The 25,739-nt window shown below is 44.5% G+C and overlaps 1 non-coding gene across 1 annotated transcript, besides 3 other annotated features; it reads left to right on the top strand.

Annotated features, from left to right (window-relative positions):
• Positions 6,082–6,376: a silencer, noted in NCBI's record as "tiled region #914; HepG2 Repressive non-DNase unmatched - State 22:ReprW, and K562 Repressive DNase unmatched - State 5:Enh". NCBI's record gives its function as "represses a minimal TATA promoter and a strong SV40 promoter by Sharpr-MPRA in HepG2 and K562 cells {active_cell/tissue: HepG2 | K562}" and the evidence as "EXISTENCE:reporter gene assay evidence [ECO:0000049][PMID:27701403]".
• Positions 6,082–6,961: a biological region, named in NCBI's record as "Sharpr-MPRA regulatory region 914".
• Positions 6,273–6,961: an enhancer, noted in NCBI's record as "OCT4-NANOG-H3K27ac-H3K4me1 hESC enhancer chr9:91362044-91362732 (GRCh37/hg19 assembly coordinates)". NCBI's record gives its function as "activates a minimal SCP1, AML or CMV promoter by ChIP-STARR-seq in primed H9 embryonic stem cells {active_cell/tissue: H9 hESC(primed)}" and the evidence as "EXISTENCE:reporter gene assay evidence [ECO:0000049][PMID:30033119]".
• Positions 8,185–8,254, top strand: MIR4289 (microRNA 4289). Its single transcript, NR_036252.1, has one exon. It is a non-coding gene; the product is annotated as a microRNA 4289 (primary transcript).
• Positions 8,255–25,739: the final 17,485 nt, after the last annotated feature.

The raw sequence follows: 25,739 nt of genomic DNA, 5'->3' as shown, positions 1-25,739 counted from the left end.
CTCCAGCTCCAGAGGGCTCCAGCTCCGGAGGGCTCCAGCTCCAGAGGGCTGGAGAAGTTCCTTTAAGTCTCTTGGCCTCATTCCTGCATCCATTGAAATTTACATCCAGCTTCATTCTTCCTCAACATCAAAGGGCCTCAGATGGTCTGGCTCTGCTTCCAAACAGAGTGCAGGAAAGTGTTTACTGAAGAAGAAAAGTGAATCAGGAAACAGCTGTGCGAAGGGCCAGGGCTGTGTTCCCCGGGGTTCACACATGGCCATCTGTGTCTCTTATTATGGCTAATCTCTCTAGTTCTCAGAGAAGCGGCCCATTAACCCAGACAGCTGGGAAATGATGGAAACCATCTTTTTTTTCCAAACGTTCTTATTATGCAGTGTTTATGTTTCAGGATCTGAGGGACTTTCGAACGTTGACCTTTCTCGAGCTGTCCGAGCCCAGAGGAGTGGTGGCTGGGAACTTGCTGTGAGCCCCCATCTTTCTACCTGGACCCCAAAAAGAATAGGCGCCACACAGAGCCAGCTTAATCCAGGGTTAGGTGTGCTGACCAGGGGGCTGCCTTCCTGAGGGCTGGATCCAGTTTTCTTGCAGCAAATTTTTCTTCTGCAGAAAGTGGCAGATCTAGGTCCTCTAAATATGGTTAATTCAAAGGATGGTTCTGGAGATGGATGGTGGTGATGGTTATGCAACAGTGTGAATGTACTTTTTTCCCCCATGGGTATCATTTATTATAATGTTATTTATTATAATATATATTATATAATACATAATATTATATTATTATTTATTATTAACCTTATAAATTTCACACAAATGACCATATTTTAAGTGATAGTATAGTCTGTAGGCTATTATTTTAAATAAAACTGTACCTCTTTTCAGTTTTATTGAAGGTGAATGTGCTTAGTACCACTGAAGTGTACATTTTTAAATGGTTAAGATGGTCAATGTTGTTATGTGAACTGTGACACAATTTTTTTAAAGGAGTAGGGAGAGTTTATTTTCCTTTTCTTGGATGTTGGTGACTGCCTGGGGTGGGGTAGGGGTGTAATGCAGTGGAAGTGATGCTGTGTGGCCTCCAAAGAGAGGTCACAATGGGCAAAACTCAAGTCCACCTGGTCCTCTCTCTCTCTCTCTCTTTCTCTCCTCTCTCTCCTACTTTGTCCCTCCCTTTCTCTCTGTCTCTCTCTCTCTCCTTCTCTCCTTCTCTCTCCTTTTCTCTCCATCTCTCTCTCTCTCTTTCTCTGTCTCTCCCTTTCTCTCTGCCTCTGTTTCTCTCTCCCTCTCCCCACTCCAGCTCTAAAGGGATGGCTCCTCTATGAATGGTTCCTGCCCCTCTTGTCCCCTGGGCCAGGCTCCTTCCATGTGTTAGGCAGGCATTCTAGAGCTGCAACTTCAATGTGAACAAATAAACATTCATTTTAAATTGAGATGTGTATGAGTTACAAGGTGCTATGCATGCGTATCCCTGGGGGTCCAGGAGAGCCCCCTCAAGCAGTGATCTTTGATGTCATGCCTGAGCAGGAGCTGCAAATGGGTGTCAAGTGGAAGGAAGAGGTCAGGGATGGTGCAGTCCAGACCCCAAAACTTTCAGGAAGGGATGAAGGAATGCACTTGGGGACTTGAGGGGTCTACCCACCCCCATGGTAGTGGGCCCTCTTGGGGCCAAGGCCTGCACTAATAAGTCCTCACCCCACCTCATCCCAGCCTCCTCACCCACTGGTCTCAGGGGTTGCAGCACAGAGTGGAGGCTGTGGCTGTGCAGGTGGAAGTGGAGGCTCGAGGGGCCAGTCCTCGGCCTGTGAGGTGGGGATTCCAGGCTCAGGTCCAGAAGCCTTTGAGAGTTCCACTAAGGAGTCTAAGTGTCTGTAAATAAATAAACACTGCAGAGTTGGGGCCTTCTTTTTGCTGTCTTTCAACCTCTCTTCTCTTGAGAAGGTTCTGGGACAGGAGTGGGAGTTCCAGCAGGAGGAGGTGGGGACACGCCCCCAGCCTCAGCGAGCCCTTCTTCCCTGCTGGTGAGCCGTTTTGGGCTCCCCGCAGGAGCCTCTGGGCCCTCCCTCCCAGTGTGGTGGTCATGGGGATGCTCCTGCCATGCAGATGCCCTGGCTATGTCAAGTGACCCACCACCTAGGGAGCAGCGTACTGTCTCCAGCCCTGTGCCCGTGCCCACCCTGGGCCCAGCCAGACCTGGGCCTCCCGGCCTTCTACCTGGCTCACCCAACCCATCCCCAGGAAGGAGCACAGAGGATGCATGTTCCAGAAAGCTGACCTCGCTGCTCCTTTGTTCCCCCTAATTGCACTAAAATTAGGCAGTTTTATGACTCACCATGTGTCTATGCTGTTTGAGCCTTCAAAGGCCTTCATCATCATCACACAGGCAGCACCTAATACAGATGCTGCATCACCTGCAGCACAAAACATTTCACATTTGCTCACTGGAGTTACTGGAGAAAGGGAGTTTCTAATGAATGACCCAAGCATGGGAATGTGTCCTTCAGCTGTCTGAAAGTTCAGCCTGGGAGCATGTTTCTGAGTGTTGGGGTGCAGGACTTCTCTCTTCTGAATTCTGAAATTCTTATGCCCTAATTTAACCTCAGACTGAATTCTTCTGGTGCAACCACTTTAGAAAGCAGAATACAGTTGGCACCAACAACCTTTTACACAGAGGGCTTTGGTGAGTGGGCAAGCACTCTGGAGAGACCCATCCTGAGTGGACAGGTGGGCCCGAGCCTTCAGGGGCAGCGAGGGCACCTCAAGGTCCCTGGAGACATCTGTTCTGCCCATAGCAGTTGTGGGAGGTTTTTAAAAGTGATACAAAGAGAATATTTTTAATTTCCCTGCTATTTACAGGGAATGTTTCACTTCTATAGGACAGAAAATACACTGCCAGATGAAGTGTTCTTGCCAAGAGAAGACCAGCTGCAAATAATTTGGCCTGGAAAAAAATATATTTTTTAGAAAACATTCTCCCAGCAAAAAATGGCCCTGTGCTCCCCTGTTCTCTGTTCTTCGTGTTTCTCACCCAGCATATGTTCAGGTTGTCATGGTAACCCTGCAGTATCTTTCAGAGGAGTGAGCAGAAGTTGAGTTCAACATGGAGGATTGGTCCATTTGAGTGCAACCTACTGAAATCAATGTGACCTTGGCCTTTTTCATCAACTTAGGCAAGACACATTTCGTTTTTAAATTTTCAAATAAAATCAGGGGTACCTTGGTGGAAGAATAATAGCTGAGAATGCTCTGGATAGGGATAGTGAATGTTTGCTGCCACATTTCCATCCTGGGATTGCTCTGGTTATCTTCTGCTGCATAACAAGCCACCCCAAAAACTCATAGTTTATGATAATGGCAATATTTTTTTCACCACAAATTTGTAACATTGACCGGGACTTGGCAGGAGCAATTTCCCACTGCTTCACACACTTCTGTCTGGGGAAGCTTGATGACTGCTGATGGGATCACCAGTAGGCTAGCTCAGGTGCCTGGTGGGGGACGCTGACTGTCTGCTGGGACCTCAGCTGGGCTCTTGTTCTGGGCACCCATGTGTTGCCGACTACCTCGTATGCTGTGCGCTTCTTCACACAGTGGTGGCTGGGTTCCAAGTGTGAGTGCTCAAAAGTCACATTCTGTCTGTCAGAAGCAAGCCAAACCATATCTAAAAGTTAGATTTCCCCCTTTCAATGAAAGTAGTGCAAAAGGATTTGTGAACGTGCTTCAAAATGACCATGATGCCCATGTCAGATATTGCTAATTAATGATTGAGCCTGGACTCCACTTCAGAATCCTTCCCAACAGTGTTCCCAGTCATCCACTGGCCATTGCTGGAGCTGGCCCTGAAGTTAACGCCCATCTAACACCCTTGTTCTAGGCTAATGGCCCAAGACAGCACAGGACCAGTGCTCTCAGAAACCAAGTTCCTACAAGTCCATAATAAAACCAGATAAATATAAACAGTGTAATAAATTTTTCATAAAGACAACTTTATCCTATTTAAAGATTGTCCATTGTTCTGAGATTATGTACTTCTTACACTTTTGGAGTGTTCAGCTGCCGTTTCTCTTATGAATTGAGGAGATGATAAGGAGCAGTTGTGTTGTTTGAATCTCCTTTTAAAATATTGGTGATCCATGCAATCCAAAAGTCACAATCCCCTGCCCTGGGCCATTTGTTGGTGGTTGAAACTTCACTGTCATAAGCAGTGGAGTGCCACATGGTGCAGACACAAAACTTTGCACATCTCCTCCATGAGTTCACCTCTGAAGGCCCACATGCCACTCTAGAATCACTGCATCTTTTCCCTGCTTGAGTCTCTGGATTGAGCTCGAGTTTTGCTTTTTTTCTCTCTCTCTTTTCTACTTTCTGCCTGGCCATTCTGTAAGCTGCACACTCTTGCTAAGCAATGTGTGTGTGCTCCTGGTGTCATCAGAAGCCCAGTCCTGTGGCAAACACTATCCAGAACTCAGAGCTACACATACCCCTGGGAAATTCCCATGGGCTTGTCAACTCAACAGTGGGGAAACAGGGCCTCGGGACAACCAAGAATCCTGGCCTTTGAGTCAGAGTTGGTCAACATGACTTGGGGAAGATATTAAATGTGGGAACCAAACCAAAATGACATAAGTGGTCTAGCAGTATCTAGATACAAACAACACTGTCTGGGTTTGAAGGAGCCCCTGTGCCCATTGTCTCCTCCCTTGTTAATCAGAGAAATAATTGCCCACTTTACTCCCAGAGATGGGGTCCAAGTTAATGAGGAACTGTAGCAGCTACTTTTAATGCAAATTCTTGGAAACATTAGTAAAGTTGGAAAATATATGGGTCTTCCAGATTATGGAACATAGAAATAGGAAAAGGGAAAAAGGCAAAAGAAAGGAAGAGGAAGAAGGGAAATGAGAAGGTAGAAGACAGACATCCGTGGGGTTACAAGGTACCTTTTACCTAGGGCTGCAGTTTCACTTTAGGAGAAAACAAAAACTGGGCTTTCCTTTGAATGATGTTAAGGAAGTTACCAGCATGGTCCCTCTGTCTCCTCCAGGGAGCAGGGCCTGGCCGAGTCTCATTATACTGCAGATCACTGGTCTTGAGCCCAAGGCTTTACAAGAGAAGCACAAACCCCAACAATTACAAGGGACATTGCTTTCCCATCCTGGTCCCTCCCTACACAACAAGAAGAAAAACAAAACAAGCCCAGATCCTGTAAGCAGGACCCAAAGAAAACATTGTGATGATGGGCTTTCTTCAAGTAAGTGAGCTGACACAAAAGGAAAGGCAGAAAGCTCTTTCCGGCTCTCAGATTTCAAACCACCAGGGAATGTGTGCTGTTCCAGGGCCTCTGAGAAGCCAAAGGCTGGGTTGCACAATCAGCCCTGCTGCCCCAGGCCAAGCATGCTGGACACTGGTCAGTCAGGTGCCTCTCACCTGGACGGTCCAGCCTCCCTCTTTGCCTTCAGCTTCCTCTGGCCACAGGAAGGGCTCAGTGTCAAGGGCAACTTCTTCCTGCTTCGATTCTCAGGAACAGCCATCTGGTATTTGTCCTTCTTGTCTGGCGTCTTTCACTTAGCACACTGTCCTCTGAATTCACCCCTGTTGTCACAAACGGCAGGATGTCCTTCTTTTTTAAGGCTGAATACTACTCCATAGTACAGACATATGCACCAGACTCTAATGAAGTTGACCTCTTAGAAGCAGAAAGTAGAAGGGCAGTTACCAGGGGCTGGGGAGTAGGAAAAAACTGTGTGGATTTTGGTCAAAGGGTACAAATTTCCAGTGATAAGATACTTAAGTTCTGAGGATCCATGAACTGCATGGTAACTATAGTTAATAATACTGTACTGTATGTTGAAAATGTGCTAAGAGAGTAGAACTGAAGTGTCCTCACACACACAAAAATAATGGTAACCATGTGAGGCAGTGGAAGTGCTGATTAGCTTCATCTTGGCCGTCACTTCATGATATGCACATGCATCAAATCATCACATTGTACAATTAACTGTATACAAGCTTTATTTGTCAATTACATCTCAATAAAGCCAGGGGGTGGAGTCGGGAGGGAGGAACTTCTGTCTTGCTCTAGGTTTATGCAGTATCTTGTAAAGACAGCATGAGTCATCATCACTATCTGGCCCAGCCAAGTACTCTGGGGCCCTTTGTGCTGCAAATCGGTTCACACACACCAACCAGTGTCTTCTCATGATGCACAGCTGGAAGTAATTTCTTTTTAAGCTTTAAAAAAATTCAAGACACAGCTTATCCTTGGTGTCCACCCGCAGGTAGTCAGGCCCTGAGAACATGTCACCTGTGGGCAAACGCTAACTTTCCCAAGACCAGGATTAAGTGTTGAGTGGGAGGTGAGGCCTTTGTCCTGCCCCTCTCTCCCTGTGTGGACCGACTGACCAACCCGCCAAAACACTTTGAGAGCCACTAGACATAGTAGCTTACTTCTTCTCATGCAGATATTCCTTGGAGGAGCCTGGTGTATTTATTTTAAGAGTTGCTTTCAGAAACAGAGGACCTCTCTTCTGTTTCACAAAATACATGTCACAGAGAAGAACAAACCCACCCATGGCCAGCCTCTGGCTGTGTAATTGCTACTCTGCACAATAGGAAATGAGTGGCCACGGCACAGGTAGCCCATTTGGGAGTCGCCTAGAGCCCTGTCCCTACAAAGAAATTATAACGTAGCAAAAAACCAGAGGCTCCCTTCCTTGAATATCCAGGCTTAGGCCTAGAGCACGGAAACAAGACCAGTGTAATTACCTCGCATGCATAATCACTGCTGAGACCTGAGAACAGAGGCCGGGCCCTGCCTGGCCTTCGGCTGTCTGGCCATAAGCAAGCAGCCACTGAAACCAGGCAGCTGGGGTGCAGGGTGTTTGTGTGTGTGAAATGGCTCTGCTGCCCCGAAGCAAGGAGCAGGGAGATGGCTTTTCCCTGTGTGGCTTACCTGGGTCAGAATCAACAAGCAGGAGCATAAAACAGAGATCAGACCCCAGGAGGAAATGACAGCCAGGCCCACTTTGTGTGCACGAGTGAGGGTAGGCATGGGGAAGATTCCTGTTTGCTTGTCCCTTTTAAAAAAGCAAAACCGGCACAAGACTGTGGTCAGGAGCTCAGTATACAGGAAGGGGCCGAAGTCTGACAGCCTTCCTCAGAGCCCCGGGTGGCCTGGGGAGGAAGGCATGCTGCCCTGAGACTGCTGTGCAGGGATCCCTGGAATTCTCCTCCAGCATTAGCTGTGGTAGAAGGGACTTTTCTATTTTGTGATTCAATCTTTTAGTTAGATTGCTTGGGGGACTTGATACTAGGAAAATTTTAATGGTTTTACCTAAACAAGGGATAACCTTGTTTTGGAAGCTTATGATATGGAGGAAAGAGTTAACTGTAAAATCGGCAGGCCTGGGGAAAACAAAACCAACCAAGCAGTAGCCAGGGTGGGTGCAGGGCTGTAGCCAGAGCTCCGGGCTGCCCCACGGCACTCCCACTGCGTCAGGGAAGCCTTTTCTGGCCTCCTAGTTAGGAGGCATCTCCTATTACACACTCTTGGAGCATTTTGTAATTCTTCTGAGAGTTTATTACCCTAGCCAATGAATAATTGTGGAATTACTCAATGTTGTCTCCCCCTCTGGAACATGATACAAATGTCAGCTCCATGCCTGACTTGTTTGTTGCGGGATTCCCTGCGCCTAGACTAGTGCTTTGCACATGCAAGGAGCTCATATTCATTGAATAACTGGATGGGAGGGTGGATGGGTGGGTGCATGGATAAGAATGAATGGTTGGATAGGTGGATGGACAGATTGAACAGACAGGCAGGTGGATGGATAGATGGATAGAAAGATGGATGAATATAGATGGAGATAGATGGGTAGATGGATGAATGGGCATGTGGGTAAATGATTGCAGAAATGCATAAATGAATGAGTAGATAGATGAATGGGTGGGTGAAGTGGATGGGTAGATGAATGGATGAGTGGATGGGTGGATGGGTGGATGGATGGATGGATGGAGCCCACAAGGTCATTAAAGCATTTTGTTCTCTAACTTCTGAACTGAACTCCACTGGTTGTCTATAATAAGAGCTTTTACAGAGGGAGGTTGAACACCCAAGCATGTTGGACATGAGTGACAGCAGCTAGCATGGTATCTCTGCCCTAGATGCACTGATGGCAGCAGAGAGCTCTGTCCCTTGGGAGGGCATTGTGCAGGGCTATCAGGCAGTTTCCTGGGCCCTGTCTGCAGAGCCTAAACAGATCACATCTGGCCAGTCTCAACAGGGCCTCCTTACCCTATAAACCATGCATGTATTTATGTAACACTTCAGGCCTGATGGAGACCAGATGTGACCAAATGGTGCTTTATGCGGCCCAGGAATGCTGAAATACCAACATAGACATCTTTTATGGCTGCTCTTGCTCAGCAATCTCTCTTTAAATCTTAGGTTTGAGCCCTGATATACAACCATTAACTTCATTCTTCTGTGAAACAGAAACATCTGGCAACATCTATTTGATTTGTTATCCTTATAAGAGAAATACAACTATGTACAACTTCTATTCTCAGTTAGTGTAGTACAGTAAAAAGAATGTTGATGGGGAGGCAAGAAACCCAGACCCAGCTCCGCCCTGTACCTCCCTTACTGGCTGGCCTTGGGCCAGTTGGTTCTCACCAGGACTCAGTTTTCCATTGGTAATTTCAAGAGCTATCATTTATTAAACACTTCCTGAGTTCTAGGCACCCTACCTTGTGCTCAGTAAAAGCTACAGATCATTGCCACAACTACACCCCTATTCAAATGTACAAATGGATACATAGGCGTGAGTTTCCAATACCCATCATCCTTAGGAGGCAGATCCCAGTCTCAGTCTTCTGACTCCAAAACCACCTCTTCCCATTAAACCAAATGGCGGCTTTCACCTGCAAATAAGGAAGTGCAGCTGAATTGCTATTTTCTGAATTTGTGTTCCTTGGACACTTCTGTTGGGAGCGACTAATAAGTCTTTTGACCCCTCTCCAAAGAATGTGTGTTTAGGGACACTGAGGAAGTGTCCCTGAACACACATTTGGGATTTTGGATGCCCACAGAACATTACAGATGCTACAAGAATTTAAGCCTGTTTACTGTGGGGTTTCCTCATTGGGCCGCTAGAATGCCTTTGTCCCCTGAAACTCCTATTAATATCTTGAGGATCACTGATGCACATTCATACAAAAATGTTGATTGAATAGGTTTCATGCTCCTGGCAGGACAGGCTGTGTCTCTGCACTCAGGGAGCAGCCACCTTACTGACCCAGGTGCAGCTCAGCCCTGATTGCCCCTTCTATACTTTCCTGTTTATACAGAGCTCCTCCCTTCTCCCTCCATGGATGTATTTACAATGTAGAGATGCTGTTAATACTGTCGGCTGCTGCTACTTGAGAAAGCTCACCACACACTTTCCATGGGGATTGGGAATGGAGTTGAGCAGCCCCATTTAGTTTCACCAAGAGTAGTGGGACCTTGTGTACTTGTTTTAAAGTCTCACTCCCTGAAAGGGCCAGAACTGGATTCTGAGTGACATCTACCCAGTGCAATTTCTCCATTGAATAGAAAGAAATGTGCAAAACATTCTAATTATGCTTTTACAACAAGCTTTTTAAGAAAAATTACATTGCAAAGACCCAATCAGTGCAAAACTTGCCCTGAAGTTCCTTACAGTTTAAAATCACCATATCCCCTCTGCCCCTTCAGCTTCCTTCTGCAATTTAGGGTGCTCGTGACGCAGAAGGGTTAGGGGCTGCAGGAGGTCCACGTGCTTTGGCTCTGATCACAGACTGCAGCTGTAGCTTCATCTCTGTCTCTGCTCTACTTAAGGACAGCTGCCCTCAGAATGCCAGGCTGGAACATCTAAATTCTACTAAAATGATCACTCACTCAGAATCAACAGCTAGGAAGAGGCCACAGAGCAGAGCCCTTGTTAATTTGGAACATGCCAAACTGCAAAGATGGTCCATAATGCCCCAGCAGAGCGTGTGAGAGCCCAGCATCGGATTTGATGCCACCTGCCCAAGGCCCAGGCCAGTGCAGCAGCGCTTCCTCAGATGGGTGTGGGCTTCGGAGCCCTGAAACGCTTCCCAGCCCAGAAGCAATAAAGCCCCAGTATGTCCTTTTCTGCAGGCCAGCACCCTGTCCACAATCCCGAGGGATGAGGGATGGCCGCGTCATCTCCCACTAACAGCGAAGCCCAGGGTGTGCAGTTCCACCCCCTTCCTAAGATAGATGTGAATTTAGAAAACCAAGAAGAGAGCCTCTTGCCTCCATGCAGCACTTCTGAAAACAAGCAAAGCATTTCAGGGGAGGAGCAGCAGGCGGCTCTGGAGCTTTGCACAAACCAGCCGGGAAGGCTTTGACTGGAAGGCAAGCAGGGCTACCTTTTGCCATGATGATCTTTAGAGGCCCACGTTTCTTCTTATCCTTTCTTTAAAAACAAAAACAATACTATTATTTCTTAATTGTCTGAACTCAAACAAATTAGAGTCCAGGGCCAGGTGCAGTGGCTCATGCTTATAATCCCAGCACTCTGGGAGGCCGAGGAGGGCAGATCACAAGGTCAGGAGATCGAGACTATCCTGGCTAACATGGTGAAACCCTGTCTCTACTAAAAATATAAAAAATTAGCCAGTTGTGGTGGCGGGTGCCCGTAGTCCCAGCTATTTGGGAGGCTGAGGCAGGAGAATGGTGTGAACCCGGGAGGCGGAGCTTGCAGTGAGCCAAGATCACGCCACTGCACTCCAGCCTGGGCAACAGAGCGAGACTCCGTCTCAAAAAAATAAAAATAAAAATAAAAAATAAGAGGCCAGTTTGCCCAGATAGGATTTTATAAAATGTTTCCTAGCAGTTAAAGAAGTCTATTTGTCTTTAATTTTGTTACTTTCCTCTCGTGACTTCCTGGGGAAAATGTGCAGAAGCAGAAGTGTGCTGCTTGACGGAATTAAACATAAAATTCCAACTCCATCAGATGGGCTTTGGAATCAACCAAGGATGACTTACGGGAGTCTCAAGTTTATCCAAATCCAGTGTGGTTTTTTGTTTGTTTGAGCTTAATTTTTCTCTTATTATAAAAGTTAACCAGGTTATAAAATAAAACCTGGAGAATATGAAAGGTATCAAATACAAGAATAGAAATCACTTGTGATAACCCCATCGTATCTATTTTTTTCTAAAAGAAATCTTGACTGCTTGAAAGAAAACTCAGAATCTCTGTGAAACGCCCAGTCCGAGTCATCTGCAGCATCCAGAGGGTGGGGCTTTAAGTGTTTTTTGGCATTGAAACTGTGTTTCTGGTCATGAAAGAGGAGAGCTGAACAGCATTTTATATGAATTTGATTCCATGCCCAAATTGCTACACTCACCCTCTGTGTCTCCGGAAAACTGCCAGCTTGGTCTCAGCTGAATCGTTAGCAAAAGTTTCACTTAATCCCAGCACCAGGCATGAAGAGCTGCTTGGCACTCCCACCCTTCAGATGTGGGCAGGGAGGCCGGTGTGAGACATTCAGTTCTGCAAGCAGAGTGACCCAGAGGGCCAGACAGTTTGAGACCGGACACTGACCCATAATCAGCCTGAGCAAGGCTTCCAGGGTCAGGCAGTGGGCTCAAGGTAACAGTGGCTCATCTCTGCTCCTGACCCCTCAGAAATCAGGAGAAGCACAAAACCCCTAACTGCAATAAGAATGGACAGCACCTCATCCCTGAAAGACCTTCAGTGATCACCATATTCAAAACTGCAGACTCCCGCCCGGCAGGTGCTTCCCAGCTCCAGCTTCCCCACTACAATCGCCTCCTTGCCCACACGCCTCTACCTCCTCATGAGGTTCTGGCTACCTTGACCTCCACCGGAATGAACGGATGTACCCAGAGAGGCAGGGGCGTGGGCCTGTTTTATTTATGTCTTTATTCTCAGAATCTAGAATACCACCTGGAAAAATAGGTGTCCAATAAATGAGGAATAAACAAATAAATGAATGAAACGCATTATTCTCTTAGAAAAGGACAAAGACAACAGAAATTTCAGGAACGAGAGCAAAAGATCTGCAGATAGTCACAATCCAGAGTTCACCTTCTGGGAGGATAACAAAAGCAATGCATTTGTTTCTGAAAAGGAAGGTTTGTCTTCTAGCGGCACACAGACTCCCACAGAGAAAAGGATGTGATCTTGGCATACCACTTGGCCTGAATCGTGAATAAGATTGACATAAAAATTATGATGCATCCACACTGCACTAATGTATTTTTGTTGTTGTACACATATTTTATTTATAATTATGATAACAAATTTATGTGTGTCTATGTCTTCCACTAGACTGTCAGTACAAGAGGCAGAGATTTCTTTTATATCTTGTGCAAACTCTAATTGCTGGTATGTAAAAGAGTATATAGATAGACACACAAAATACTTTTGAAAAACTAAACACTCGCCTACAACTCAACCGCAAATATCCAATACAGCATCCCAGGTGTCCCACTTATTTGCTTCCTGGGGCTGCCACAACAAAGAACCACACAAGGGGGCGCTAAAACAACAGAAATCTCTTATCCCACAGTTCTGGAGGCTGGAACCCCATGAGCAAGGTGTCAGCAGGGTTGGTTCTGCTAAGGACTGTGAGGAAAAATGGGCTCAGGCCTCACTCCTTGCCTTGCAGGTGGCAGTCTTCTCCCTGTGCCCTCACATGGTCATCCTTCCATGCATGTGTCCTCATCCCCTCTTCTTGACAAGGACACCAGTCATATTGCGTTAGGGTCCACCCTGACAGTCTCATTTTAATCACCTCTTTATCCTATCTCCAACTCCAGTCATATTCTGAGGTACTGGGGTTAGGTGTCCAACAAATGAATTTGTGGGGAAGTCACAATTCACCCATAACCCCCGGCCCCTGCGTAGAGCATCCCCCTCCAACTCTGAAGCTGATGAGGTGTTCACTCCCAACCCATCACTTGCACAGGACGCTTCTAAGGCCATAGGTGGGACCCCCAACAACGTGTTTGCGTGTTCTTGCTTCTGTGAGATTTGAAAAGAGCAGTGTTGTCATGGCAACTGGTTTCCAATGCTCATTCCCACTGCCCTTCACTCACACTGTCCCTCATGTTGGGGGACATCAGAGTGGCCGCAGGCATTTCGAGATCCAGCTAATGGGAAGGTTCAAGGGACATGCTTAATTGGACTGTTGGGGATATTTTCACAGCTTAGTCACTTCCATGTATAAGTAACTTACTGCTAGCCAATCCAGAGGAACGACTTCGTGGAATGGTACCCTGCAGACTGTGCCAGTCCTCTCGTGTCTCAGTGTGAAGGTACTCTTATTTCCTACAGCTCCATACATGTGGGTGGTGGAAGAGAAACATGCTTCAAAGGGCCAGGAGCTAGTCTATAGAAAATTATCTCAGTCTTTACATTTATAAGGAGTAAGCAGTTCTCACTGATGTCTAGGCAAAAGCTAAGTTTTCTGGTCAGGAAAATGCTTAAAGTGCAGTAAATTTAATTATAAACACAACATATTTTTCTCCATTTTGATGAAAGTCACGTGCAATAAAACTTATCAGAACTCCTCTTTTGTCAGGCAAAGCACCATAGCATTACTTTTAAAAGGCACATCTTACCCACCACAGAGTAGCAATTGGCAAATTAGGAATTCTAATGAATCTTGTCCTCAAGAAGTAGACAGTTCCTGATGAAACACGCAAATCACCACCAATGCAGTACAATTCCTCAAGAAGCAAGTATTTCAGAGGTGTGTCAACTTATAAAAATGTTATTTTTATGATACTGTGAAATCCATGGTATTTGTTCAAAAATACATAATTTACTGTGATTTCTTTTCTCATTCTAAGTAACCTTTCTCAGGTGAGTTTGCCTTTATAATGTTATGTCCTGGATCTGCCCCCACCTGGCACATTACAATTCCACATCCTTAGTAACCATGTATTTCAAGGATGTAATGTCCTCCCTACATTTGGGGATCAACCATGTGACTGGGGTCCAGGGAGTGGCAGGAGCTGAGACGGACTGGGGGCAAGAGACCACAGCACAAGGAAGACTCAGCTAGATGTGGCAAGGCCCCTGAACCGAGTGACTTATGCATCCTGAATACCATTTGCACCTTGTGTCCACAGATGGCTCTACCACATACAAAGGGCACATCCCTGGGCTGATCTCATTGTCCTGGGAGCCTCGTTTCTTTATTTCTGGAAAGCAGGCAGTGACTGTAAGTAGCTTCATTGGGTTTGGGTGAAGATTAAGTGAGAACAAAATATGACTGTGCTTTGGAAGCTCACATGTGCATTTGACATAAAGGGTTGTTTTTCCAACTGTGGGGAGGTGTGCAAAAATGTGCATTTTTAAAATGATTATTAGCAAATTTGTTTCTGGGTAGAGCAACAGTGAGAAATTGGGGAAGAGAGAGGAGAGAAATGTCAAGATAGCCAGGAGGGAGGGCCAGTGCTTCAGAGATCTTGGTCCTAGAGCACCCTGGGGTGTGGCCATCAGAAAGGGGTAAGACAAAGAGATTCCAGAGAGAAGCTATCTCTATCTAGACAGGAGGCTGGGTGGCCCCCTGTGCCCCAGGCAATGATATCTGGACGACCCCTAATATGATTAGCTTCTTAAAAGCCCTTTTAAAAATGTGTTCAGCTGGAAAATAAACTCTCTTCCATGGTTAAAAAAGACAGAAAGTCCGACTTTTAACTGGCAGATGGCTCACTTAGATTCCGACAAGGCCCGTTTGAACTCATGCTACTTAGAGATGCATAAATTGTTGTTTTTGTTTTCTCCCATTAACTGCTCAGGATTGCAAAATGAGGGATAGTTAGCAGAAATCATTTCACCGTTAATGAAGCATACATTAAAACATTCCATAATGTAAAAATATATCAAAACATTACACTGTACCCAAATATATACAATTATTATTTGTCAATTAAGTAAGCTTAAAAATGTGAAATAAAAACAGACATTTGGAATTTGGGGGCAGGGGAATAGGATGGGTTAAGTGAAAAAGTGATGCTTTACGTAAGAATCCTAAGTCTGAACTTTGAGAGACTGCACAATGGAAAATGCTGGAAAGTCCCCAGTGCTCTGGATCATGTAGGATAAAACTGGTTTCTGAAATAATTGGGCCCATGTGTTGTTATCAGAGACCTAGATCTTTTATTGACATTCTTTCTGTTAAAAAAAAAATGTGCAGCCTAATACTTGCAAAGGAAATGTGATTGCTCCATTTGCATTTCTGTCCATACCACATGGAAGTCATTTTAAAGTAAGTGGTTTAGAATTAGGGCGGGAAAGGAGTTCCAGCTTTTACATCAGAGGGGGCAACCTCTCTCTGCTGGTGCCGTCCAGCAGTCAGGCTCCTTCCATTGTAAATAAGCCATGCCCTGCTACAGGAGAGTTCTTGAAGTTGAGCCCAAACCAGCGTCGTCTTCATGTCACTCACTCCTTCGATTGAAAAATTATCTGCTGCTTAATCCCAAAAATATCATCACAGGTGCTAAAAGATGAATGAAGAAACATATAAGAGAAAGTTAAAATCACCTGGACAGACCATCAATGGCAAAACCTTCCAACACAGGATGGTTCCCAACAATTGTGGTTGTTTACATTTTTCTAGGAAAGAAAAGAATCGATTTGAGAACTCTCTGGAGAAATTCTTCTAAAGCAGAATCTTGTGTCCAGAGAAACTTTAATTTCTTCTTTAAATGCCCACATTTCAAAGGATTACTTAGGAAAAAAGGTAAAACAAAAAACAACTACAAAAAGGCTTTTTCTGTTATCAAATTTATGAAATCCTAATACACATTAAAAATATTTCAAAAACTTGTTTCCACCCCTTCACTTAAAATATTGTGTATAGGCTGAAGTAGTTAACAAAGGCTATTTTCAGGAATCAAATCCCATCCTGAGTGCTGTACTGGGCGTTGTGAAATGCACAGGAAGCAGCTGTAGACTCCACGCGGTCGCCTGCCTGGTCTGGGAGCATCCATGGGCCAGGGCAGCATACGTGGCATAGGGGCAGGCTCCAAGCCAGCCCCCCGCCTCTGACCTGCCTGCACATCATCTGTGAAATGAGGACACTGCTTAGGGCTTTCGGAGGGTAAATGGGTCAATCCATGGAAAGTTGTCTGGGCAGTACCTGACACAGTAGCAAGTGCTAGCCGCTGACTGCTTTTACCCGTTTCTGTTCAGTTACAGGGAACTGTAAATTATTCAGGGACCCATTCTTGGATTGTACATTAGTCTGGCGACATTTTCAGCATCCTGTTTTGGGCTTTTTAGGTAAGTTTGCTACTTTTTGAAAATATCATCTGGGACAGAGAAAAAAATGAAACTTAATGGAATCCATTTTTCTTCTTTGTAGAAAAAACAAATGGGCCAGGAATGAAGCCTCTCAAAATAAGCCCAGAGTGGTGAGTGGCGTGGTTGGATGGCCCTGCCAGCCATGCAACAGGGTCTGCACTCCATCTGAAGAGCACGGTGGACCCCCTGGAGGATTTCCAGCAGAGGCGTGCTGGCTTTGTGTAGTCAGGGGATGTGGCAGAAAGCCTCCAGGATGGCCCCTGGTGATCTGCAGATCCTGGAATTCATGCCTTTGTGTGATCCTCTCCCTTTAGTGCAGACTAGACTTAGTGACTTGCTTCTGATGAATACAATACAAGCAAAAGAATGGGATGGCCCTTCTGAGATTAGGTTACAAAAGGCCTGTGGCTTCTGTCTTGGCTTCTCTCTCTCACTCTACCCCTTGCTCACTCCAAAGGAAGGGAGCTGCCATGTGGTGAGCTGCCCTGTGTAGAGATCCATGGGTCAAGAAATTGATGTTTCCAGCCAACAGCCAGCCAAGACCTCAGGGCTGCCAACAGCCACGTCAGTGAGCTTGGAAGTGCATCCTATCCGAGTTGAGCCCGCAGATCACTCAGCCCCAGCCAACCCCTTTGCTGCATCCTTGTGAGAGATCCTGAGTCAGGCACCAGTGAAGCCTTGCTCAGATTCCTGATCCACAGACATGGTAAAATGAACGTTTGTTGTTTTAAGCCACTAAGTTTGGAGCTAGTTTGTTATGCAGCACTAGAAAACTAATACAATTACTCTGGCTAGTGTAGATACTACATTGGAGAGAGGAGGTAAGACTGGAAAGAGCTGCAGTAGCTATAACTCTATGAGAAAATTAGTAGCCATAACAGTAAGAGTGTGGACTGGGTGTAGTGGCTCATGTCTAAAATCCCAGCATTTCGGGAGGCTGAGGCAGGTACATTGCTTGAGCCTAGGAGTTCAAGACCAGCCTGGGCAGCAGGCTGAAACACCATCTCTACAAAAACTACAGAAACTAGCCAGACATGGTGGTTAACACCTGTACTCCCAGCTGCTTGGGAGACTGAGGTGGAAGGATCACTTGAGTCCAGAAAGTCAAGGTTGCAGTGAGCTGAGATCGTGCCACTGCACTCCAGCCTGAGTGACAGAGCAAGACCTTGTCTCAGTTAAAAAACAAAACAAAACAAAAAATTCCCACAAGCAAAATAAGCTTTCTTTTGCCATCTTCCATCATTGCCAATGGCATTCATCCAAAGTGAAATTCAATAAAGATTCTTTGGTTGGTTGCACTATGGTACACTCAGGGTAGTATGTGGTTGATTTAATCCAAGCACAGATGTTGGGTATGTAAGAGGAAAGTTGGGCTACATGCCCATCCTTCACTTAGCTTTTCCCGTGTTGAGCAGCACTAAGTTCAAGGCCATACCCCTTGGCTGGAGCTGGAGGGCACTGCTTGTCTGTGAACATCTAAGTGTCAACCTGGGCAGACAGACTGTTCACCACTGTCACATTAGAAGGGATGTTGGAGTGGAAAGAACATTCTAGAGACAGCAAACAAGTAATTCTGGACTCACTCCAGCTCCCAAAGTTCTATAACATAAGAGGTGATCTGGAGGTTAGCCTCAAAATATCTTTTTCTTTACTTTTTAAAAATTAATCTTTTAAATAGAAACGAGATCTTGCTATGTTGCCCAGTTGGGTCTCAAACTCCTGGGCTCAAACAATCCTCCTGCCTCAGCCTCTTGAGTAGATAGGATTACAAGTATGCACCACCCAGCTACTATTATCGCTTCTAAGTTTTTAAAGCAAGTGTAACAAAAGTCAAGAGTGCAGCTGCTGATGTCGGAATTCCTATATTTTTTCCCAGCAGAGTCCAAGCCTGATCCTCTTTGGGGACCTGACTGGTCAGGTTCTGTTTAAGCAGCTTCACCTTCAGAGGAATACAGGGCAGTCCAGTCTCACTTTGGAAAACTTCTCCATGGAGGACATATTCTAGTAGATTTTTTTGAATCCAAGTGATAAACAGAGAAGAGGAAAAGCAAGTAGATTAGTATTTATGAGGGAGGAAGTAGTGCAGGAGATGGCCATGGAAGCCCACTTCTGGCTCCAAGGGTCTGGTTTGTAGCAGCCTGATCCTGCTGATGCCCGATTGGAAAGTTGGACAAAATGCCAAAGGATCTGTCTGAAGACACCTGGTAGCTAGAACTTGGCCAATGTCTCAAGGAAAGAGGAGCACATTGATATGAACCAGTGGGTACCTGACACAAAAGCAACCCACATTGCAAGTGTTCAATCGCCACCTACAGCTACTCTACTAGACAGCAGAGATAGAGCTTCTACAGTTTCCTATATACAATATCTACTATGCAATGAAAACTTTCCAGGCATACAAGAAAGTAGGACCAAAAGAAAAAAAAAATAGGTAATAGAAACAGATCCCGATATGAGAATGATCAAAAATAGATTTTTAAATAACTAAGATTCATATATTCAAGAAATTAGAAGACAAATGTGAATTCAGCAGAAAACTCAAATCAATAAACCAAATGAAAATTCTAGAACTGAAAAATGCGATAACTGAAATTAAGAGCTGAATAGATAGATTTAACAGCAGATTAGTCACAGTCAAATAAAAGATTAGGAAACTGAAAGATTGGCCAATAGAAAAATCCAGAATAAAGAATAGAGAATTTAAAAGGGTATAAAATACCAAAAAAGTATATAAGAAACAAATGTGACATGATGAAGTAGTTTAATATATATACAATTGAAGTGCTACAAGGGAAGGAGAAAGAGATTATGGTGGAAACAATATTTGAAGATTTCTCAAATATCATGAAACCCATAGAAGCAAGAGGTTCAGTGAACCACAAGCAGGGTAAATACAAAGAAAACCATACCTAGAGAACATCATGGTAAAATGCTGGAAATCAACAACAGTGATAAAAACCTTTAGAGCATCCAGAAAAAATTTAAAGGGCATATTAACTTCAAAGGGGCAACAGTAAGACATATACACAGCTGATTTCCCAGCAGAAACAGTAAAAACAGAAGATAATGGCATGACATCTTCACAGTCCTGAAAGGAAATGTCTGTACAGAATAAGCAAGCAGGAGAAGAGAGATCTGAGGCTGTTTACTTCTACAAAAGAAAAATAAACCCCTGGTTGTCTATCAATTACTTATACTGCTTTAATGGGAGTTTTTATTTTTCTGTTTTCACCTTTTTGGATCTTTACTGCCTATTAATTTTTTGTTCTGCTTACGTAACTGAGATAAAGCATTACATGTATTCTAATTCCAAGGAAATAAGTTAATATGTTTTCCTAATGAAGTCTTCAATCTCATTTTTTAAAACTATATTTTATTAGTGGAACTTTCCTCCCATCAAACGCTTACAAATGAATGAGGTCATTGCCTACATTAACTACACATTCCAGTGACTAATTAGAGTGGTATATAGTTTCTTTCCTCCTGCCACACTAAAGTATTTCATTTGCATGGCTAGTGAAATCATTAAGAGTCCCAGAATTTTAATTAAGGCTGTCTGAGTAGGAATCCTGCCTCCACCGCCTACTCACTGTGTGATCTCAGGCAACTTCATGTCTCCAAACCTTGTCCTTTCACAGAGGACAATCATAGCCATTCCTAGGAATTTGTGAGACATATATGAGATTATGCATGTAAAATTCTTGGCACAGTGGAGATTCTGTTTTCTCCAAAAGACATAGGACCCACATGTTTCCAATAAAACTTGGCAATACTAGCAGAAAAAGCAAGTTCTTTTGGCAAACATACACCATCAGTAACGAGCTGACGACACCCATGACAAGGCATGCCCACTGTTACAAGGCCTGCTCCCCTGGGACAGCCGCGCTTTGAACAGGGTCGATGTGTCCCAGACAGCAACAGATGGTTTGTAAAATTGGGAAAGGAAGGGAAGAAAGGTTGTTAAAGCAACCCCACTTTGTGAAATGTCTTCACCCTCAGGGAACACTGAGTAATCCCGGGCACCCCCTGCTTCCTGGGATCTCTAACACCTCCCCACTTCAACCTCTGCAGAGTGAGCATGTCTGTTTGAAAACTGAGCTTCCCCCTCTTCCTGAGTAATCTGGTGCAGTCACATGAAAGTAAAGCCTAGTTCTGGCTTTGGGTTTCTGGTTCTTTCATCCCTTGCCCCATCCCTAAAGCTCCATTTCTTCCCCCACAATCACGAAAAATGAATTAAAGATGAGAGTGGGGAGCAGTGGTGGTGAATTCTTAAGCAATCCTTTCAAGAACTATTCTTGGGGAGAGGGGGTTAAAGGGTTCTCTAAAGTTCATTTTAATTTCCTTGGAATCACTACAGAATCCAGAGAAACATTATATGATTTTTAAAATAATCTTTTTCAGAAACTGATAGGCAACACATACAAGGATTAGATTCAACTTTGTGATTCTAATTTCTCTAAACAGCATGTCATCTGAAATGTGATATGGAAAATCTAAGTTCTAATTTTATTCAACTAGATAATGCATACTTAGGATCTGGCTCTTTCCTTATTATCTTTTCATTGGTGAAGTATTTCCATCTTTTATGGAAGCATAATGCAGAATACAGAAAATATACATATCAAAACTGTGTATGTGTATACAAGTATACCCTTGATGATTTTCTCAATGAAAATTCCATGTAATTCATTAAAATAGTAACCTACCACATTACTGTATCTTCAGGTCCCAGGGCCTGGAAAGCTGAGGGGCATGGGTTTCATTCTGCTAACCCCCTTCCATCTCACCACTGCTTAGCCTCCACCCAAAAGCCTCTACTTTTATCTGTTTTAAGGATTGGGGTTGGGCACTAGATTTTCTTGTGGGAAAAGGAGAGGTTCTCATGTAAAAAAAAATAGTTTTAAAGTTAACAATCTCATCCTGAGATTCAGGGTTCCTTCCTGTTCATAGCTCAGGACGTGGGACGTGCTGTCCCAAGACAAAGATGCTAAGCCAAGACCAGGTGGCAGGTGGGGCTCCAGGGTGAACATAGGGTCCAACATGGGCAAGAGACCTCAATGTGGAAGCAGGGCATGTCCCAGCACCAGATCTATGGGTGAGCCCCTGGTCAAGAGTCAAAAATGGACAAGATACCAGCATTGGAGCAAAGACTTCATTTGTCTGAGTCATTTCCTTCAAGAGTGGTTTGCGTTATGCTTTTGCAAAATGTCCTGGTCTTCTCCAGAACCTGCAGGTTAAATCCATGGAGTTATTCAAATCCAAAGCTCGCCACTCCATTCCAGGCAACAGCTGTGGGAAGTTTCAGCTCCAGGTCTCCGCATCTGATTCAGCCAAATTCCCAGAAATGGTGCGGGTACTTCCCAGGCAACTGGATCCTGTGCCCAGCTCTCCAGAGTAGATGTCATTCTGTTCTCTGTCGTGGAATGCAACTTTACCCTTGCCCTCAATTTCTCCACACTGAATGTCCTCATCTACTGTTCCCTCCATGAACTTAGGGATGTGTTTCTTGGCTCTGAGCCTGTGAAGCACTTCTGTTGTGATGTTATAACCTCTTGAGTGTGTTGTTTCCTCTGTGACTCTTACATATACCTTCCCCCACAGGCCTCCCCACAATTGCAAGAATATGCACTTAGTTGTACTGCTTTTCTATTTTGCTTTCCCATAGCCTTTCCTCTCCCTTGGAGAGTAGTTTTCTCTAATGACATTTGAAGGCATGCTTTCTTTATTCTGTTTTTCAGAAAATAATTCTGCAATTCCTTTGGAGGCTGCCGTCTGAAATGCATTTGTACTGCCCTGTTTTTATCCTTCTGCCTCCTACAGCACATAGAAAATTAATCATTCGATTCCTCCCAGTTGTTTTTTGAGAGACCACAGTCTCCAAACACTAAAATAGGCCCCGTAAGGATAATATAAAGGACACAGGAGATGAGATGTGGTCCTTGCCCTTGAGTAAATGGTAAGAGAGCTGGAAGAACTCTGTTGATCAATACCGGATACAGCCAGGATGCAGCTCAGTATTAAATCATTCCTTCAGGCTGGGCTCAGTGGCTCATGTCTGTAATCCCAGCACTTTGGGAGGCCAAGGTGGGTGGATCACCTGAGGCCAAGAGTTTGAGACCAGCCTGGCCAACATGGTGAAACCCCATCTCTACTAAAAATACAAAAAAATTAGCCAGGCATAATGGCGAGTGCCTGTAATCCCAGCTACACGGGAGACTGAGGCACGAGAATTGCTTGAACCCAGGAGGCGGAGGTTACAGTGAACTGAGATCACACCACTGCACTCCAGCCTGGGCGACAGAGCGAGACTGTCTTGAAGTAAATAAACAAACAAACAAACAATCATTCCTTCAGTTCCCAGAGCCCTTGAGTAGCATCTATGGAAGAATGCTTTCTGCAGCTCCTACTTTTTAAAAAAGGAGTTTTCACCACTTTTCCAGTAACTTTGAACCATTACCTCAACAGTCTGAACCATAACAGAGTCTCAAGTAAATGTTTTGGACAAACAAATGGGTGGGTGGATAGATAGATGGATGAATGGATACTCATCCATAAATACATGGATAGGTAGACGGATGGATGCATGGATGGGTGGATTGATAGGTGGATGGATGAGTGGATGGATGAATGGGTGGATGGATGAATGGATGGATGGACGGGTGGATGGGTAGGTGGATGGATGGATGGATGGATGGATGGATGGATGGATGGATGAATGGATGGGTGGAAGGATGGGTGGATGATGGGTGGATGGATGAATGGACAGGTGGATGGGTAGATGGATGGGTGGATGGGTGGTTGGATGGATGAGTGGATGGATGAATGGGTGGATGGATGGGTGGACAGATGGATGGATGAATGGATGCATGGATGGGTGGAAGGATGGGTGGATGGCTGAATGGACAGGTTGATGGATAGATGGATGGGTGGATGGATAGGTTGATGGATGAGTGGATTGATGAATGGGTGGATGGATTGGTGGATGGATGCATGAATGGATGCATGAATGGGTGGAAGGATGAGTAAATGGATGGGTGGATGGATGAATGGACAGGTGGATGGGTAGATGGATGGATGGATGAATTGATGCATGGATGGGTGGAAGGATGGGTGGATGGATGGGTGGCTGAATGAGTGGATGGATGAATGGGTAGATGTAGATGGATGCGTGGATGGATGGATGGATGGATGAATAGATGCATGGATAGGTGGAAGGATGGGTGGGTGGATGAGTGGATGGATGAATGAACAGGTGGATGGATGGATAGATGGATGGATGGATGGATGGATGGATGGATGCATGGATAGGTGGAAGGATGGGTGGATGGATGAGTAGATGGATGAATGGACAGGTGGGTGGATGGATGGATGGATGGATGGATGCATGGATGGGTAGATGCATGGGTGGATGGATGGATGGATGGGTTGGTGAGTTGGTGGGTGGATGGATGGACATATGGACAGGTGGATGGATATATGAGCTACTTTACTTGATGTTGGATATCCTACTTAAGAGACAGCTTGGTGCAGTAGCCTAGTGTGGCTGTGTAAATATGAAGAAGTTATTTAACCTTTGTTTCTTTTTTAACTCATTTGTGAAACAGAGACAGAACAGGTCCATGATCTCTTATATGCAATCCTTGTGGATTTGTTAGGGATTCAGACATTGTCAGATTTCAAAGGGGTGATGTAATTTATATATACCTCCAGCTGGGTCTGAGGCAGCACCACAAAACAAGAATACTGACTATTTTTATTGAGTAGTGTAAATAGTAACTTAATGGGCTAAAAAGAGACTGTAACCATCCTAAAGTCTTCTCAGTTTGGTTTTGCCACCAAATGAGATATGACCAACTTTTTAGTTTCCAGAGCATTTTGGATCTTAGCATTGAATGTAAGGAAATGTGAATTTGTCTTCTCTACATTTTAGAGCTTGTTTGGGGATTCCCGTAAGATTATAAGCATATATTGGTTGACTTGTTTATTCTCTACTTTCCCCACAGTATTAACTATAACCATCATAAAAGTGAGGGATGTGTTAGAAAAATTCTATGCCTACACCTGAGCAGGTGTTCAACGAAGGCAAGTGGTATGAAGCGTGGAGTGAGGGATGAAGTATCCTGACCCCTGCACTTCCCTCCCCAGTGCGCTGCTACTGCAGGCCTATGCTCTGAGCTCAGCAGCACATCAGTTTTTATATTCCTGAACCACTGCAGCACGTACCCCCATGGGCCACTTCCTTCTTCTGGAAGCACTCCCATTCCTTCCTTGCTTTCCACAGCATGACATCTTTTTGGTTTTTCTTCTTCATCTCAGTCTTCTCTTAGATTTCCTCTTCCTCCTTCTTGTCCCATAAATGTCAGTACTTTATAGATTTCCTCCCTCAGTCACCTCTCTTTGAGCTTGTGGAGAACTCTCTGCTGGTTACCTTGCCTGCTCTCTGGCTTTATTTATTGTTGCATACACTTAAGATTTTCAACCCAAATCTGTCCTTGAGCGAGGACTCTCATGAGCTTCAGGCTCAAGTGTGCATCACTTCTAGAATGTCTGAAAGCACCCTAATTCTAACATGCCCAAAAGAATTCACCTCATTTTGCCCAAACCTGATTCTCAACCTGTGCTCTCTTATCAATGAATGCACCATCATTCACCCAGGCCAGAACCTGGGAGGCATCTCTTCCTCTTTCCCTAAATGAGATCCATCCTCAATTCTCCAGCAATGCTGTGTTTATCCATCTCTCATTACATCTCTACTGTTCCTTTTACCTCCCTCATTCAGGTTCCTATCATAGCTTCTTTGATTTTCTGAAGCTGTTCTCAAGAGGTGATTCAGGGACCCCTAGGGATCTATCTCCAAGGTCCTTGCAGGCATCTACAACATCATATCATGCATGAATAAAACCCATTCAAAGTTCAAGAGAGATTAATGGTTTTCAATGTACAGAATTTAAGTGTACTGATATCGTTTCAGATTCCCCTTTGCAACTAACATTTAAGAAACTACCATCTGTTGAATATTGGTGTGGTATCAAAGAATAATATGCACAATTATCTGAAAAGACCATTAAAATATTTCTCCATTTTCCAAGTATACATCTGCATAAGTCTGGATTTTCTTTGCGTACTTAAACTAAAAAGCACTCACAGCAGACTGACAGTGAAAGCAAATGAGACTCTATCAGGCTTCCATTAGACTATACTTTAAAGAGATTTGCAAAAATGTAAAGCAATGGTATCCTATTATCCTAGATTTTTGGTTTTTGAAATAGAGTTCTGTTTTATAAAAAAATGTCAAGTTAACATGTAATGGTTTAATTAATGTTATTTTTAATGAGTTAAATACTTTTTAAATTTTCTGTTTCAATTTCTAATTTGGCAAATATTGGTAGGTACAACCACAAAACAAAAACTCTTTA

Source organism: Homo sapiens, chromosome 9 (assembly GCF_000001405.40).
Source record: "Homo sapiens chromosome 9, GRCh38.p14 Primary Assembly".
Classification (NCBI taxonomy): domain Eukaryota; kingdom Metazoa; phylum Chordata; class Mammalia; order Primates; family Hominidae; genus Homo; species Homo sapiens.
This window is presented reverse-complemented; position numbering and strand designations above follow the sequence as displayed.